The sequence below is a fragment of the Homo sapiens genome, chromosome 10, assembly GCF_000001405.40.
Source record: "Homo sapiens chromosome 10, GRCh38.p14 Primary Assembly".
Lineage (NCBI taxonomy): Eukaryota > Metazoa > Chordata > Mammalia > Primates > Hominidae > Homo > Homo sapiens.
Genome location: NC_000010.11, coordinates 83067455 through 83083423, shown reverse-complemented (window position 1 = coordinate 83083423; position 15969 = coordinate 83067455). Strand labels below are relative to the sequence as shown.

At 37.2% G+C, this 15969-nt stretch overlaps 1 pseudogene, besides 1 other annotated feature; it reads left to right on the top strand.

Annotated features, from left to right (window-relative positions):
- Positions 4556-5117: an enhancer, noted in NCBI's record as "NANOG-H3K27ac hESC enhancer chr10:84838063-84838624 (GRCh37/hg19 assembly coordinates)". NCBI's record gives its function as "activates a minimal SCP1, AML or CMV promoter by ChIP-STARR-seq in naive H9 embryonic stem cells {active_cell/tissue: H9 hESC(naive)}" and the evidence as "EXISTENCE:reporter gene assay evidence [ECO:0000049][PMID:30033119]".
- On the top strand, positions 15353-15462 carry RNU6-478P (RNA, U6 small nuclear 478, pseudogene; annotated as a pseudogene).

Here is a 15969-nt window from a genome sequence, read left to right as displayed (position 1 = left end):
TACAATCATGGTGGAAGGCGAAGAGGAAGCAGGAACATCTTACATGGCCAGAGCAAGAGGAGGACTGCCAGGTGGGGATACCACACACTTTTAAACAACCAGAACTCAGCCAGGCATGGTGGCTCACACCTGTAATCCCAGCACTTTGGGAAGCTGAGGTGGACAGATCACCTGAGGTCAGGAGTTTGAGACCAGCCTGGCCAACATGGTGAAACCCGTCTCTACTAAAAATACAAAAATTAGCCGGGTGTGGTGGTGGGCACCTGTAATCCCAGCTACTCGGGAGGCTGAGGCAGGAGAATTGCTTGAACCCAGGAAGCAGAGGTTGCAGTGCAACTGCACTCCAGCCTGGGTGACAGAGTGAGACTCCATCTTAAACAACAACAACAAAAACCAGATCTCATGAGAACTCTATCGCAAGAACAGCATCAAATGGGGAAATCAGCCCTGATAATCCAATCACTTCCCACCAGGCCCCACCTCCAACAGTGGGTATTATAATTTGACTTGAGATTTGTAGGGGGACACAAATCTGAACCATATTATATGCCTTGAAGATGGTATCAGTTATAAAAGAGGTCTTCTAAGAATATTATGCAAAATGTCCCTGTTATGGGTTGAATTGTATTCCTCCCCCCAAATTCATATGTAGATGTCTTAACCCCTGGTACCTCAGTATGTGACTTTATTTTGAGATAAATGCTTCACCAAGTTATAATGACATCATTAGGGTAGGCCCCAATTCATTCTGATTAGCATCCTTATTAAAGGAGGAATTTGGAGGTAAATACACAAGAAAAATACCATGTGAGCATCAGAGTAGTGATGGGGGTGAGGCATCTACAAGCCAAGGAAGCCAAAGGTTGCCCACCAGAAACCAGGGAAAGGCAAGGAACAGACTCTTCCTCTCAGCCCTTGTAAGGAACTAAGTCTGCTGACACCTTGATCTTGGGTTTCTGACCTCCAGAACTGTGAGGCAAACTTCTGTTTTCTAAGCCACGCAGTTTGTGGTACTTTGCTATGGCAGCCCCAGAAAATTGATACAATTCCATATCAGCCTCACAGGGACCTATCGGGGGAATCCACCCCCGATAATTCATCATGGATTCTTTTCTATTTTCCCTACGTGTAGGCTGGTCTGAGAAATAAAGGGAAAGAGTACAAAGAGAGAAATTTTAAAGCTGGGTGTCTGGGGGAGACATCACATGTCGGGAGGTTCCGATGCCCCCTGAGCCGTAAAACCAACAAGTTTTTATTAGCAATTTTCAAAGGAGAGGGAGTGCACAAATAGGGTGTGGGTCACAGAGATCACATGCTTCAAGGGCCACAAAAGATCACAAAGCAGAAGGTCAGGGTGAAACTAGAGTCACTAATGAACTTCCATGTCTTGCTGTGCACACATTGTTAGGGTTCAAGAGCAGAGAACCGGTCTGACTAGAATTCACCAGGCTGGAATTTCCTAATCCTAGCAAGCCTGGGGGTGCTGCAGGAGACTAGGGCATGTTTCATCCCTATCTACATCTGCATGAGGCAGACACCCCCAGAATGGCCATTTTAGAGGCCCTGCCCTGGGAATGCATTCTTTTCCCAGGGCTGTTAATTACTAATATTCCTTACTGGGGAAAGAATTCAGCGATATTTCTCTTACCCATTTTCAATAATAAGAGAAATATGGCTCTGTCCTGCCCAGTCCACAGGCAGCCAGACTTTAAGGTTATCTCCCTTGTTCCCTGAACATCGCTGTTATCCTATTCTTTTTCAAGGTGCCCAGATTTCATATTGTTTAAACACACATGCTCTACAAACAATTTGTGCAGTTAACACAATCATCACAGGGTCCTGAGGCATTATTCATCCTTAGCTTACGAAGATGACGGGATTAAGAGATTAAAGACAGGCACAAGAAATTATAAAAGTATTAATTTGGGGAACTAATAAATGTCCATGAAATCTTCACAATTTATGTTCTTCTGCCATGGCTTCTGCCAGTCCCTCCATTCAGGGTCCTTGAATTCCTGCAACAGGGACCCTAGGAATAGGAAATGCTATCTGAGAGATTTGTGAGTGTGGTTTGGGAGTAAAGTATAATTTGACAAAAAGGAAGCCAATAATTTTTTTTTCTGTTTTTTTGAGATGGAGTCTTGTTCTGTCACCCAGTCTGGATTGCAGTGGTACAGTCTCAGCTCACTGCAACCTCTGCCTCCCCGGTTCATGCGACTCTGCTGCCTCAGCTTCCTGAGTATCTGGGATTACAGGCATGCACCACCATGCCTGGTTAATTTTTGTATTTTTGGTAGAGACAGGGTTTTACCATGTTGGCCAAGCTGGTCTTGAACTCCTGACCTCAGGTGATCCACCCTCCTCAGCCCCCTAAAGTGCTGGGATTACAGGCGTGAGCCATCGTTTCCAGCCCAATAATTTTTTTTTTAATTACTTAGAATGAAAGGTTTAAAGACAGAACAAAAAGAAGGTACTCCTGGAATACCATGGGCAAGTAAGCCGAGAGGTCTGCTCAGCTATAAGGGGTCTACTCACAGGATGGAGACAAAAGCCACAGAGAATCATATCCAGTGAGCAGGACTATGCCCTGGAGAAGAGGTAACCAGATTATGCCTAGGCTGGGCTTTAGAATTATTATGGATCAGTAACTGCCTTTCTCCCTTTTTAAATAGATTTGTCTATTGTAATTATCCAATCTCTGTTACCCCATTGTAAATATTGACATGTGGGGAGCAGAAAGCATGTTATTTTTTCATATCAAGAGGAGCTTATTTTAAGCTGTACTCTGAGAGCCTCGTTTACCTGGACCTAAATTTGGATGATGACATTCTGAACTTTGAGTCAATACCAGGATGGGGATAAGCCTCTGAAGCTCTTGGTAAGGGGTGAGTATATTTTGCATGTGGGGAAAATATCCCGGGGAAACCTGAACTAATCAGATAATTCAGAAAAGAGACTGAGTCTTTCATGAAGAAAGAGACTCAAAACATTCGAGAAATTCTCCTGCTAACCTTGAAGTGGCAAGAGGCTTATGGTATGAAACATGTGGCAAAGAACTGAGGCTCTAGTTATTACAAGTAGCCCTTGAAGAGTAATCAACAAGAAAACGGGAAATTTGGTCCTACACCCTCAGAATTCCTATTATGCTTGGAAGTGGATCTTGAGCCTCAAATGAGACCTCAGCCTGGCCAACACGTTGATTTCAGCCTTATGATACTCTGAGCAGAGAACCACCCTTCTGTGCCCGGATGTCTGACCTACAGATCTGAAAGATATATTTGTGTTGCTTAGTCTTTTATATTTGTAGTAATTTGTTACACAGCAATAGAAAACTAATACAGATTTTAATATCAAAATACCTGAAGTACATCAGCAGCTTTGCAGGTGTGCAGTGGGCAGAGGCTGGACAAATATCCAGGTGCCAGAGAGAAATTCTCAATTGCCTTGAACAGACTCCTAATCCTCGTTACTTAGGCAAATTTCTGCACCCAGCTTGAATTTTTCCTCAGCAAATGGGATTTCCTTTTTTTTTTTTTTTTTTTTTGACATGGAGTTTCACTCTTGTCACCCAGGCTGGAGTACAATGGAGTGATCTTGGCTCACTGCAACCTCTGCCTTCTGGGTTCAAGTGATTATCCTGCCTCAGCCTCCCGAGTAGCTGAGAATACAGGTGCCCACCACCATGCCCAGCTAATTTTTGTATTTTTAGTAGAGATGGGGTTTCTCCATGTTGGCCAGGCTGGTCTCAAACTCCTGACCTCAGGTAATCCACCCATCTCAGCCTCCCAAAGTGCTGGGATTACAGGCGTGAGCCACCGTGCCTGGCCAAAGAGCTCAGAAGGAAATGAGGGGCATATTACTGGAAAGCAAAGGAAATGGGGCCCCTTCTTACATAATTTTAGAAAGCTTAGTAAAATTTTGCCCTGCACTTGAGAGTAGAAATCAAAAGTGATAAATTTAAATACATAGCTGAGGAGATTTCCAAGTAAAGTGTTGAAAGTTCTACCTGGTTTATTTTATTGCCGCTTATGGTAAAATGTGAGAGGAGAGGCACAAATTGAAGAAATAATTGTTAAACAGAAAACAGGGCTTGATCATTTTGAAAATTCTAAGGCTCTCTAGATACCAAAAATGTTAGAAGTAAAAAAAAAAAAAAAAGTGAGAAAATTATTGCCCAAAGGATGGCATTTTAAAAAGGCTGAATGTTCTGTGTTCTTTTAGGTGATGGTCAATTAGGTGCAACCAGAGAGGAGACAGGAGAGGCTCAGAAAAACATAAGTGTATTATACTCACTGGTCCTAGAGAGGGGGTTATTGTATGCCAAGCAGGGGTACATGGGGAGCACCAGGTTTTGGTCAGGTGGAGAAGACAGGAGCAAGGGGAAAGTCTACACCAGTCTCTATTGGGGTTTCTGTGGGAAAGGCAAAGTGAGAAAGAGTAAATAATGTAGGACTGGCTAGTTTGAATAAGTGCTGTAAGCTTTGGGGTATAAGAGGGATCCCAACTTGCCTGATACCTGGCCGTCGGATGTTGAAGGCAGAGGAATATTGCCTCCTGGATTGTACTGGCCAGGAAGAGGAAACCTGGCTCTGGGTTGGTTAGTTTGCTTAGTGAAGACATGATCCTAGCTGAGCCCTTTGCTGTCTCTGAATAGCTAGCCCTGGGGCTAGAAGTTTCTCCCCAGCCGGGAAGGTTAATAATGTCAAAACATCATAATAAACAGAAAATAGATTTAAATGCTACAATGAAGGCATAACTCTATAACCAAAGGCTACAACCAGTTCTACAAACAAAAGCTAAATCCTTAGAAAGGCCTAAAAGATTCATGGATGTATCTTTTGCCTAGAAGAGTAAAACCCAGTAAAATCCATTAAAGATACCTAATGTTCTCGAGAAATTTTTTTTCAGCAGAAATACTGCTAGCTTGAGTGAAAGGGACAAAGAGAATGTGAAACAAAAGGAGACTTTCAGGCTATTTAAATTCTATTGGCAGCAAACAGGTTGATGAAACTATTTAGCTTCAAACACTTGCTACTTTTCATGAAAAAGGAAGGATGACTCAGAAAATGAGAACAATAGCCCTGAGGGCAGAGCCCAAGACCCAGAGGTTTCTTCCTAATCTTTAAATCCTAGTCAAGAAAAATATCAATATTTGTTCAGCTGTATTACAAAACTTCTAGGAACTGGTTACTCCTTTTAACTTTCCATTTTCCCCCCTTTGAGCTTGAATATCTATAACAGGTATCCTATACTGGTTTTGCAATTGCATGTTTGAGGTATTAGGGGAAGATAACTTGTTTCTTTAGTTTCCCCGGTCTACATATGGAGAGAAAATATTCCCTAGAACCTAAACTTAATGGATTAGATCTAGGAGTTTCATCTTCACCTGATTTAGCACACTTGGATGATGAGTTCTGAAATGTTGAGATGACACTCTAATGGTCTAATACTCCTGAGAATCTTTAGAGAGGGGTGGGTGAATGTATTTCTCATGTTGGGAGGATATGAATGATTGGGGGCCATGGGAAGACTGATCATCAAACTGCCAAGGTGGCCCCCATGGTTCCTGCCTCCTCGTGTACAAATTCTGTATAACTTCATCCCCTTGAGTGTGATTGGACTTGTGAATATGATGGGATTTGTTATGTTGCAATGAAAATGAATACAGCCAGATACCAGCCTAGTTTTTAAAAGGACTAGCAACTTCCCTCTTGCTCTACTCAAGCCCAAAAAGAGAGGATCTCCTGAAGCCATGTAAGATCCATCATGTGGAAGTCTGACTACTATGCTGGGAAGACAAGGTGGAGATGCCCTGAGGCTACATGAAAAGAGGAAGAACCTGAGACCAGCTTTCCAGGTGTCCCTACCAATGTCCCAGTGATAGCAGTGAAGCCTTCTTGGACACTCCAGCCTCCAGCTAAATGTCACCAAATAACACTGGTCAATGCTACATGGAGCAGAAGAATTGGCCAGCCATGTTCTGCTAGAATTCCTAACCCAAAACATTATGAGAAAAAATAAAATAGCTTTTGATAAAGTCACTAAATTTGGGAGAAGTTTGTTATACAAAATGAATACTTTCAAAGGGGTTATTTATAGAAATTTGAGTGTGGTGGGATAACAAGGAATAAAGTCACAGTTGAAACTAGTGAGCCCCAGATTGTGAAACCACTATGCTGAAGAGATAAGGGAAGGAAGAGTTAGTATAACCATTTAGGTAGTTGTTTATAAGGAGACCAGCTTGAAAGAAGCTCTGATATGGAGGTTAAGGAACATGGTCAATCCATGGAGGAAATCATTGGAATAAAAATCTAGTATGGGTGCAGTGGGTCATGCCTCTAATCCCAGCACTTTGGGAGGCCGAGGTGGGTGGATCACTTGAGGTCAGGAGTTCAAGACCAGCCTGGCCAACATGGTAAAACCCTGTCTCTACTAAAAATAGAAAAATTAGCCAAGTGTGGTGGTGGGTAGCTGTTATTCCAGCTACTCGGTACGCTGAGGCAGAAAGATTGCTTCAATCTGGGAGGTGGAGGTTGCAGTGAGCCAAGATTGCACCACTGTACTCTGGCCTGGGAAACAGAGCGAGACTCCATCTCAAAAAAAGCAAAAAAAATCAGACTTTATTCTCCTTTCTCTCTCTGATCTCCTGCATGGCTTCCAATTCATCAAAGATTTCCAAAAAGCACGGTTTATGAAAGTTCCTGGTTGTAATTTGTACAAGTTAGCCTTCTGGAGCAGAAAGCATGGTGGAGATGAATAGACAGCAGATCTTGTGAAAGATAAGGAATTAGTCATCCAGCTGTATTTTCTGATGTGATGATGGTAGTCACAGGGTGTACACGACACCAAAGGCCAATGAATGCATCTCAGGGATTGAGAATTCTGCTGGCTTTCTTGAGACTCTATTGCTTGGAAGATAGGTAAGACTTCTATAAACAAGAATGAGGGAGAAGACAATTTCTAGAGGGAGGGCAGCTGGAAAAGTTTCAGAAAAAAATAAAGACACCGAATTATTTATTGTGGCTCTATCTGGGTAATTAGAGCAGAGCAATTAGCAATAGCATTTACCACAGCACATCATTACTATTTTTGTTTATTGCTAAACCACTTATTGATGAAATAGGTTAAGTGTCAGTTTTTCAACAATCAGCCATGTCCCATCTGTTATGTAATTGTTACTTTCAAAGCTTGAGCTTCAGCAAATGGAATCATTAAGGGACACTCTCTTGCACTTGCTCCAGTACACATTTTTTCTATCCCCCTCTCTTTTATAAATGGTTTATTTGCAAATCAACATCTGTAAAAGGGAAAAAAAGAGCACAGTAGGACACAAGGGGACAAGAAGTTGACACTGTGATCAGAGATCCAGGTAAAGGTTGGGGAATAATTTATTTGTCTGAATATTTCCAGCAAAACAGTACTTGTTATGGGGTTTTTGTTGGGCCTTGTATTCCTGAGATGCTCCAATTACTGAGCAGGATGGCAGGTCCATTGTCACAGCTGCTGAGCTCATGAAGCAACACAGATAATATATCTGTAAGATGAATGCTGCAATCACAAATTAATTAGATTCTCTTTCAGAAGATAAAAGTTAGGAAAAAATTGCTTTTCTTCACCAGGATACTAATGTGGCAGGACCAAAACAGGAGGTGCCTAGTTTGTTGAACCACAGGTATGAAAAAATGGATCTGTGTTTGCAAATATTTCACTTTACATGCAACTTTCAATAAAAGCCAGTAAAGGCTTTACATCCTGCCAGATTTAATAAACGCTTCCGTCAAGTGTTTGTGGTCAGATGGAAAAAATCATTGGCTTGCTTATCTGCTTAGGGGCTATTTTCTGTCATCTTCTCCCAGCTGCTATGAGTTTCCATTGGCAAGAAGTCAAAAATACAGCATAAATTTATTTGTAGGACAAAACAGCTACAAAAGGCCTGGCCTATTAACACAATGACTATGATTGCACTCTTAAGAACTAAACTGGAGTTTTGTAGGATTTTTGCTAAATTTTAGCTGAAAGCACCAAAAAACCCATGTATTGTACCCAGAGAAAAGTGTTTTATTTATTTTTTATGCATTTCCTCAGATATAAACATTGCTTATTTATCCAGAAATTTAGAACACATTTAAACTCATGCCATTTCTCATTAGAAAGAACAGCATGCTTTCATCACTCCCACCACTCGAAGGCAAGAGCAATGTCTTATTTTGTGTTAATTTGGAACGACACAGTGACAGATTGATTTCTTTCTTCTGGTAAACAAATTCAGCCACAGAGAATACACAATGTATCAAGTGAAAGTTCATTTTCAAATACTTCCACACAAGTTATCCCTCACTTTTCTCCAAAAATGCCTGTTTTCATTTGGTGTGAGTAGAGATAGATCTGAGTAGCCCTAGAGGCTTGTTTCCACCATCTTCATGGTGTTTATTCAGCTCAGCAGCTCTTGGCCAGCCCCAAAAGTTGATGTTTACATCAACAAGTGAGCTCCAGAGATTCCCTGTTTGTAATGAGACCAGTTATTCACTGGGGAACTTTCATTGTGTTCTATTATTTGACTAGATGTATCAAGCAACCCCTTTCAACTTTTTAAAAAATAGAGAGGTTTAGGGGACAAGTTGCCTCTCCTGGGTCCCTGCCCATGAGACATCAATGACAGAGCTAGATACACTGCCCTTTGGGACCCTCCACCTATCAGCTTTCCCCAGTAAACCTTACTTTACATTTACATTGTGTGGCATAAGGTGCATGTGTGTCTGCATGAAATATGTATTTTGTCAAACATTTTTCATACCACTTGTATGTTCATATCTCATATATACATTATATATATATATACACACACACACACGTGTGATTGACTCTATGGAAACAGAACTCATGAATAAATAAGACTGGCTATATACACTTTCATGTTATCATGATTTTACATATGGACATACAGTTTTCTCTCTGTATCCATGAAGAATCATTTCAGGACCTCATACAGGTACCAAAATTCATGAATGAATGCTCAAGTTTCTGGTATAAAATGATGTAGTATTTGCATGTAACCTATACACATTCTCCTATATACTTCACTCATTTCTAGATTACTTATAATATTTAATATAATGTAAGTGCTATGTAAATAACTTGTACTATAATATTTAGGAAACAATGACAAGTCTGTACATGTTCAGAACAGATGTAATTGTTAATTTTTTTCAAATTTCTTCAATGTGTGATTGGTTGAATCCATGGAAACAGAACTCATGAATAAAGAAGACTGGCTGTATATACTTTCATGTTATCATGATTTTATTCTTCATACACATAAAGTGAATATAATTTATACTCCTACCAACTATGTATGGGAGTATACATTGATAGCCACACTAACTGGCACCATGTTATTTTATATCTTTTTCCAACCTGATGGGAAAATACACACACATCTTTTTTTACATTTACCTGGTGTCATCTGAAGAATTATGATGTTAATAAATTTAGAAAGGAGAACTTTATTTCTCATAAATTGTTGAAGCCTGCAGGGTGGCCATTCTGACAGGCTAGGAAGCATAACCTTTGGCCAGAAGCCAGAAACAAGACAGTTGGAGGTAGGATCAAAGGGAAAAGAAATTTAAGCTGAGCAGGGTGACTTAATATACATATTGAATAAGCTACAGGAAGAGTCATGAATATTTATGAGAGGAGACACATGCACATTTGTAATTAGCTCCATGCCTCTTCATGGGTCCCATGTACAAACAATGGCAGCATTAGCATGATCCAAGGGTGGAGTATTCAGCCCTCTGATGTCAAAAGGTAATGTAGAGGACATGAAAACCCTCGCTGCATATTCTCAGTAGGATGGCCAGAACCATTCCATGGTCAGTGATCTCTTATCAGAAAATAAAGAAGTAGTGTCAGATGGTTGGTTGATAGGAGTGGTGGAGTCTTTTGAAAGGGCTGGTTTCTGTTTAGTCCTTAGGGAAGAAAGCCTAATGACAGTTAATGACGGAGAGGGTATAAGGAGGCAGTCTGACTTCACAGCCTGTCATGGATAGGAACTCGGTTTTCAAGGTTTCCCTCGGGTCCCTTTGGCCAGGAGAAGGACTGTTTCATCTGTTGGTGGGCTTAGTATCTGACTTTTATTTATCACTGGTAACTAATAAAATTGACCACAGAGCATATTTGGATATATTGATGTTTTATATGAAATTTCTTTTTACGCCTATTGGCCATTTCTTAACTTTAATTTTTTTTTAAATGCTATGAGTGAAAATAATATGACTGAAAAATTTTCCCAATAAAATTTGTTAACTAGAGTATTTCTCCCCATAGAATTGTACTATCAGTATGGTCATTTATTGAACTACTTTGTGTCAGTAGATATTTCTCTATTCTATATTGAATGAATTTTATTTACCACTGTTTAAGAATTTTGCATATATGATCATTAGCAAAATAGTCCTATAATTGTATTTTCTTAAATTGTTTTTATCCAAGATTACTGGTAAAAGTAATTATATACTTTGGATTTCAAATACAAAAAGTACTTTTTGTACATTCATACTCTAAAGGTACTTTTTGTTTGTAACTCATTTTCCATCTGATATTTTAAAATTTGTTTAAAGCAATAATTATAAATGGAAGTTGATTGGCACACAATGAACAAAGGCATAATCTGTGACCATACAGCATAAAGGTGGAGGAGGACAAAAATACATAGGAGCACAATATTTTATATTATGAAAATTATTAGTATTAATTTAAACTAGATTGCTATAAATTAAGATGTTGTCTAAAGGGCAACCACTAAGAAAATTACATACACACACACACATATATATATATGCACATATACATATGTGTATGTGTATTTATGAAAAAAGACTGTAATAAAATGTTATAAAGTAAAATATCTGTTTAATACTATAGAAAGCAGTAAAGTATTTGTAATCCAAAATTTATAAGATATATAAATGAAAAATAACAAAATAGCAGAAGTGAGCCCATCACTATCAGTAATTACATTAAATATAAATTGATTAAACTTTTTAATTAAAAGGCACATATTGGAATGGATGTAAGAAACATGATTCCACTATATACTGTCTATAAGAGACTCATTTTAAAAGACACTGATATGTTGAAAATCAAAGATGGAAGCAGATTTCCATGCAAAAAGTACTCAAAGAGATCTAAAAGTAGCAACGTTAATATTAGGTAAAATATACTTTAAGAACAAAAGTTACTATAGACAAAGAAAAACATTTTGTTATGATAAAAGGGCCAATCTATTAATAAGATATAGCAATTATAAACATATACACACTGAACCATGGAGCTGCGAAACATCTGAAGAAAATACTAACATAATTGAAGGAAGAAATATGAAACCCAATTATAATTATTATAGATTATTATATAACTCACTTTTCAAAATGCTCTTAATATACTTGTATTTTTGGTTGTCATTTTTTCCAACAGATAAAATTATATAATTTTGTTTTGCAGGAATTTTCCTATTTTTTATATTTGCTGGTGTTATATTTTCTATGATTTCATGGATTTATTAGTATTTAAATGTTTAAAGAAGTATATATAGACATACGCATATATCTACCTATCTATATTCTGATGAATTTTAGGAACTTATAAAAAGGATTAATTTTAGAATTAAATCCAACATCATAAATACTTTGATAACATTCTATTTGCATTCTTTGGCCCATGGAATATATTTAATTATATATATGTAACAAGTAATTATTATATTCATATTATATATGTACTTATTATATATAATTAAATCTATTCCATGAGCCATATGTTTATATTAAATATTTTAATTTCAATTAAATAAATATATTTTTAAATGTATATGTTATATATATATATATATATTTGTTCATTGTGTGCCAGTCAACTTCTATATATATATTTTAATCACAGCTACTTGAAGAGCAAACGTGGTGGATTTAATAGTTTTCTCATGCATAAGATAGTTTATTCTTAATATCAAATTATGTTTCTGTTTCTGGAAATATTGGTTAATAGATATCCAGAGAAATATTCCCACTAGAGAGCATGTAAAAATTCTTTGTGGGCCAGGCATGGTGGCTCACACTTGTCATCTCAGCACTTTAGGAGGCCAAGGTGGGCAAATCATGAGGTCAGGAGATCGAGACCATCCTGGCTAACACAGTGAAACCACGTCTCTATTAAAAATACAAAAAATTAGATGGCGTGGTGGCGGGCACCTGTGGTCCCAGCTATTCAGGAGGCTGAGGTAGGAGAATGGTGTGAACCCAGGAGCTGGAGCTTGCAGTGAGCCGAGATCATGCCACTGCACTCCAGCCTGGGCAACAGAGCGAGACTCTATCTCAAAAAAAAAAAAAAATTCTTTGTGAAACAGAAAAAATATTTATATAAATATATGTTTCAATATCTATATGTATATATAGAAGTCCAAATATAGAGAGAAAAATGCCTCAATATCAGGAAACAGAGTTTGAGTTTGGAGAAGTGAGCAACTCTTATGCTGTGACTAGCTCTCTTGATATTTTCTAACAAGTCATGGTTTAACCAAGTTATAACATGCACAGAAGGACAGCAGACAAATGTGCTAGGTCTATGCCGAGTAGCATTTTAAATTGCACATCTTCTATCAGAGTGAAACACTTGAAAAATACTTATTCAATCCTTAGCTGTGGGTAAGTGAGGAAAAAATATCTAAGTCCAAAATTGTGATGACTCAATGAACCTGACAGAAACCCAAACAAAACCTGTATGGAAGCACAGACTTTAGACTCAGGCCCTCTTTGAATTTCAGTAAGTGCCAATGGAAATGAGCTAAACATAAAAGAAAAGAAGAAAAAAAAAACCCAAGCCCTCTGGGGAAACATGTCACCATGGGGAAGAATCAGCAAAAATAACACCTTGCTGAATTGAGCCTGCAAAATCTTAAAAAATTGGTATAGTCAATTATAAAATATATAACAAAACAATTATGTTTAATATATATAAAAACACAATTATAAGTAATTAACAAGACACTAGCAACTTTGAAAAATGTACATTTATCAAAGAAATATACACAAATAAGAAAAGAGCTTAAAGGTTTAATTATAGACTCAATATTTTTGCAGCAGATTAAATTCTGAGAAAAAGAAACTAGAAATTCAGAAGAGTGAAGAAACTACTGACAATCCAACAAAGAGAAAAGCTTATGAATATGAAATAGAAATGAGGATATATAAATGAAAGGATGATAAATTCAGTTTTAATTTGATTTTTAGAAGGTGAATATAGACAGGATAGCCTAGATACAACTATTTGAAAATAAAATGAATGAAAATTATCATTAATGAAAGTCAACAATTCAGAATTCCAAGAGTACTAAGTGGAATAAATGAAAATAAGCACATAAAAATAAATAGGTGAATGGATCTATTACAATAAAACTATAGAAAAATAAAACTCTTCCAAAGCAATCACAGAAAAAAGAATTTCCTACCTATACACAAAACTTCTCAATAGCCATGTCGGAAAACAATAAAACTGAAGAAGAACTTGAAAATTTGAAGTTAAATAAAGTTATCTTTTAGAAACCTTGGGGATTTATTTTTTTCATCTGTTGTGAGAGCAGATTGCTTACAAGTAACGAAAGTACACCTAACCTAATCAAAAACCAAACCAAACAAAATGACATGTATTGCAAGAATGCCAGGGTGTGTAATGGAACTCAAGGGACTAGCATGTATTATAGACCTCCATAGGAACTAGAACCAAGAAGTGGGAATAGAAAAGGAACCAGAACATCTGCTTTGCCTTCTCTTATTCTCATTCATTGTCTCTCTTTGTCCCCATTTCTCTCCCTGCCTCTTACTGTCTTTCTCTCCCTCTCTCTTCCTTTCCCACTTTCTCTCCCCTAGACCTCCTGCCCAGCTTCCCCAATCCCCTTATATGTCCATGAATGAAGGAGATTTGGGAAGCCTGAGAGTATTGATTTCAGGGATAGAGTTAGAAATACATTTTAGTAAGAAGATGAATTTGCAAATACAGAGTCCATGAATAGTGGTGCTTGTATATAATATATAATTCAGTCTTCATATATCATACTTCTTATTGCTTTGTTTACTCTCGTGAATATTGTGAAAGAAAGCCATGAGTATTGATTCATGATTTATGACCATTTTTCTCCTTAATCTGCAAAATGCAATTGCTACATAAACCTTGGGTATATTGGATGAACCAATATTTTGCCTTCTAAATTTTTCTTCTAAGAAAGAAAATCGGCTGAACATCTAATTCATATGTCATCACTCTGAAGTTTAGTTTAACTTTGTTTAGATTAAATTAGTTACCTTAGTGATATACATGTCAGAGAGGAAATAAGTTCATATGGAAAATTACCAATTATCTAAAAAATAATAACTATTTTCTGTTATATCCAAGAAGCACATTTCAACTTATGGTGATTTTCTTATAACTTTTTTTACTGACTAAACTCTCCAAACTGTGATGCATCCATTTAAAGTTTAATTTTATCTTAATTATAATAAATAAATTTTTCTTTAATAATTCTCAAGCCCAAACATTTGATTTAAAAAGTCTCATTGACCACTGTAAATAAACTTTAGTGTGTATTCACTAACTCTTAATAACGACTTCACAAATAGGGTGGGTAGTAACAGAAAGGTTTTTATCATGATACAAATTGATATGTCTTTAAATAATAAATATGAAATTACCTAGTAATTATGGTCAGGTTTTTCCTAATTTTATTTATTTGTACTCATTGTAATTAGAAAATAATATCATAGAAACTTTACAAAAGAAAGGAAAAAGTCACTCCTGGAGACATAATTACACTTATTTGATATCACAAAAAATATAACATTTCAAAAAAGAATATAAATGGTATTAAAAAGTAATTCACTGGCCAGGCATGGTGGCTCATGCCTGTAATCAGAGCACTTTGAGAGGCTGAGGCAGGTGGATCACTTGAGGTCAGGAGTTTGAGACCAGATTGGCCAACATGGCAAAACCACATCTCTACTAAAAATACAAAAATTAGCCAGGCATGGTGGCATATGCCTTAGTCCTAGCTACTTGGGAAGCTGAGGCAGGAGAATTACTTGAACCTGGGAGGTGGAATTTGCAGTGAGCCAAGATCATGCCACTGCACTCCAACCTGGGTGACAGAGCAAGACTCTGTCTCCAAAAAAAAAAAAAAAAAGTAATATACCACAAAAAGAAATATTATTTTTTCAAAATCAACTATCAGTAGTATATTTTATACTAAAATTTAGAGAAAAACACCAAGGAATCCTCATTAAAATTAGTAATGTAATGAATTATCATGCTTGCTTTGGTAGCACATACACTAAAATGGGATATGATACAGAGAAGATTAGCATGGCTTCTTCACAAGAGGATGAAATGGAAATCCATGAAGACATCCATATTTTTTGATGCAAAAATCTTCAATAAAATAATAGCAAACCAAATCCAGCAGCACATCAAAAAGCTTATTCATCACAATCAAGTTGGCTTCATCCCTGGGTTGCAAGGTTGGTTCAACATACACAAATCAATAAATGTAATTCATCACATAAACATAACTAAAGACAAAAACCACATTATTTTCTCAAGAGACATAGAAAAGGGCTTCGATAAAATGTCACCATCGCTTTATGTTAAAAACTCTCAATAAACTAGGTACTGAAGGAACACACCTCAAAATAAGAGCCATATATGACAAACACACAGCCAATATCATACTGAATGGGTGAAAGCTGGAAGCATTCCCCTTAAAAACTGGCACAAGACAAGGATGCCCTCTCTCACCACTTCTATTCAACATAGTATTGGAAGTTCTGGCCAGGGCAGTCAGGCAAGAGAAAGAAATAAAGCATATTTGAATATGAAGAGAGGAAGTCAAATTATCTTTGTTTGCAGATGATATGATCCTACATC